The sequence below is a fragment of the Homo sapiens genome, chromosome 8 (assembly GCF_000001405.40).
Source record: "Homo sapiens chromosome 8, GRCh38.p14 Primary Assembly".
Lineage (NCBI taxonomy): Eukaryota > Metazoa > Chordata > Mammalia > Primates > Hominidae > Homo > Homo sapiens.
In genome coordinates this window covers 141899570-141901867 of record NC_000008.11, presented here as the reverse complement: position 1 = coordinate 141901867, position 2298 = coordinate 141899570, and positions in this window count along the sequence as shown.

The window sequence follows — 2298 nt, the reverse complement described above, 5'->3', positions numbered from 1 at the left end:
CACACACTCTCTCACACACGCATTCACATGTACACATACTGTGTTAGGGTTCTCTAGAGGGACAGAACTAATAGGATAGATGTATATAAAGGGAACCTCAAAAGCAGGGAAGGAGACGGTGCACTTCAGTCTGTGGCCGAAGGCCCCAGAGCCCCTGGCAAACCACTCCTTTGGCGACACCCTCACAGACACACCCAGCAACAATACTTCGCATCCTTCAATCCAATCAAGTTTACACTTAGTATTAACCATCATAGATACCAACATGCTCACAACACACTGTCTCCCACACACCACACACACTCACAGACACCACACTGTCTCCCACACACTCACACACACCAACATGCTCACATACATGCACAGCACACTGTCTGCCACACACACTCACACAAAACAGTCTCACACACACACACCACACTGTCTCATACACACAACACACTGTCTCACACATACTCACACAAACACACACCATGCTCACATACATTCACAATACACTGTCTCCCACACACACTCACACAAAACACACTCTCACACACACACCACACTGTCTCATACACACAACACACTGTCTCACACATACTTACACAAATGCACACCAACATGCTCACATACATTCACGACACACTGTCTCCCACACACACTCACACACAACACACTGTCTCCCACACACTCACACCAACATGCTCAAAACACAGTCTTCCACACACACACACACCAACATGCCCACAACACAGTCTCCCACACACACTCACACCAAGTTCAAATCACACACACACTATCTCCTACACACTTACACAAAACACACTGTCTCCCACACACTCACACACACCAACATGCTCACATACATTTATGACACGCTGTCTCACACGCACACACAAACACACTGTCTCCCACACACTTACACATACACAGCAACATGCTCATGCACACACAAAACATACTCTCACACACTGACACACACATCACACCACACATTCTCCCACACACACACTCACACAGTCACACACACACATTCTGTCACACACCACACACTCTCCCACACACTCACACATAGACACACTGTCACATGTATGCTCTCCACACACTCACACAGACACACAAAGGCATGCGAGCACACAGTTGCGGGAGTGAGCGTGCAAACCTTGTAGCCCCGTGTGATGGTGTTAGGAGAAAGGGCCTGAGGTCCTGGGGACGGAGCCCTTGTCAGTGGGCTGAGTGTCCTTAGAGGAGGCCAGAGCTTCCCTCCCCCTCCCCTCATATGAGGACACAGCCTGAAGGCGCCGTCTGTGAACCGGGAACATCAGCCCTCCCCAGACACGGAACCCGCCCTGGTCTTGGGCGTCCGGGCTGCAGAGCCGTGGGAATGCAGGCCGGGTTTTTGGATCCCACCCAGTCCGTGGCACATGGCTAGAGCAGTCGGATGGACTGAGACCCCGTCCCCCAAGATCCATACCCCGTTACCGCTCAAGGTCTCATCCAGGGGCAACACCGGCCACCCCACACTTTTCGTTCCCCTTGTCCTTTTCTGTCTCTCGGGATGATCACAAAGATGAGTGACAAGCGTTTTGCTTTTCATTTCCAAGAACTGGTGAAACGTAAACAGGCGGCACAACTGCCAAGGCGCCTGTCCCCGGTCGGTTCGTCTGTAATTAAAACTCGCTCAGTGCAGCCGCCTCCTCCCCGAAACTTTTACAAATCTCCTGCGTGCTAATGAGGATACCGGCTAATTACTTGCCAGATGATTAAGAAATCATACTGGGACAATTGATGGGTCTCTGCAGGGAGCCGTCAGTTGCTTCTCCGGCCTCTCATCCTGCTCACAGTTTCCCTTCAAGAGGATGGCACTGACATCCCCCCAGGAAGGCTCAGGACCCAGCCGCAGGGCGGGCACAGCCTCTGCTGCAGGGATGCAGTGCGAGCTTCAGTATGCACCGGGTTCATCCCCCAACGCCTGTGGAAACGCATGGGCCCCCCGCTCCTGGAGGATCCATGGTGCCTTCGCTGGACAATATCACCTTGGCTTCTCTCATTTCCAGCAAGTTCCAGAGCTGGGACGGGGCCCTGGCGATGTGCTTTAGCTCTTTCTTTGGGCCTGGCTTCCTTGATGGACAGCAGCTGGCCCGATCACTAGCTGCTGCTGTCTGGGAGACAAGGCCAGGTGGTTGGAGGGGCTGGCAGGGAACCAAGTTCAATTCACAAGGGTTGTGTGCAGGAGGCTCAGGCAATGGGATGGAGGCTCAGGGTGGAGACACTAAGAAGGAGTCAGAGAAAGAGCACAGTGCTGTGGAGGGTGGC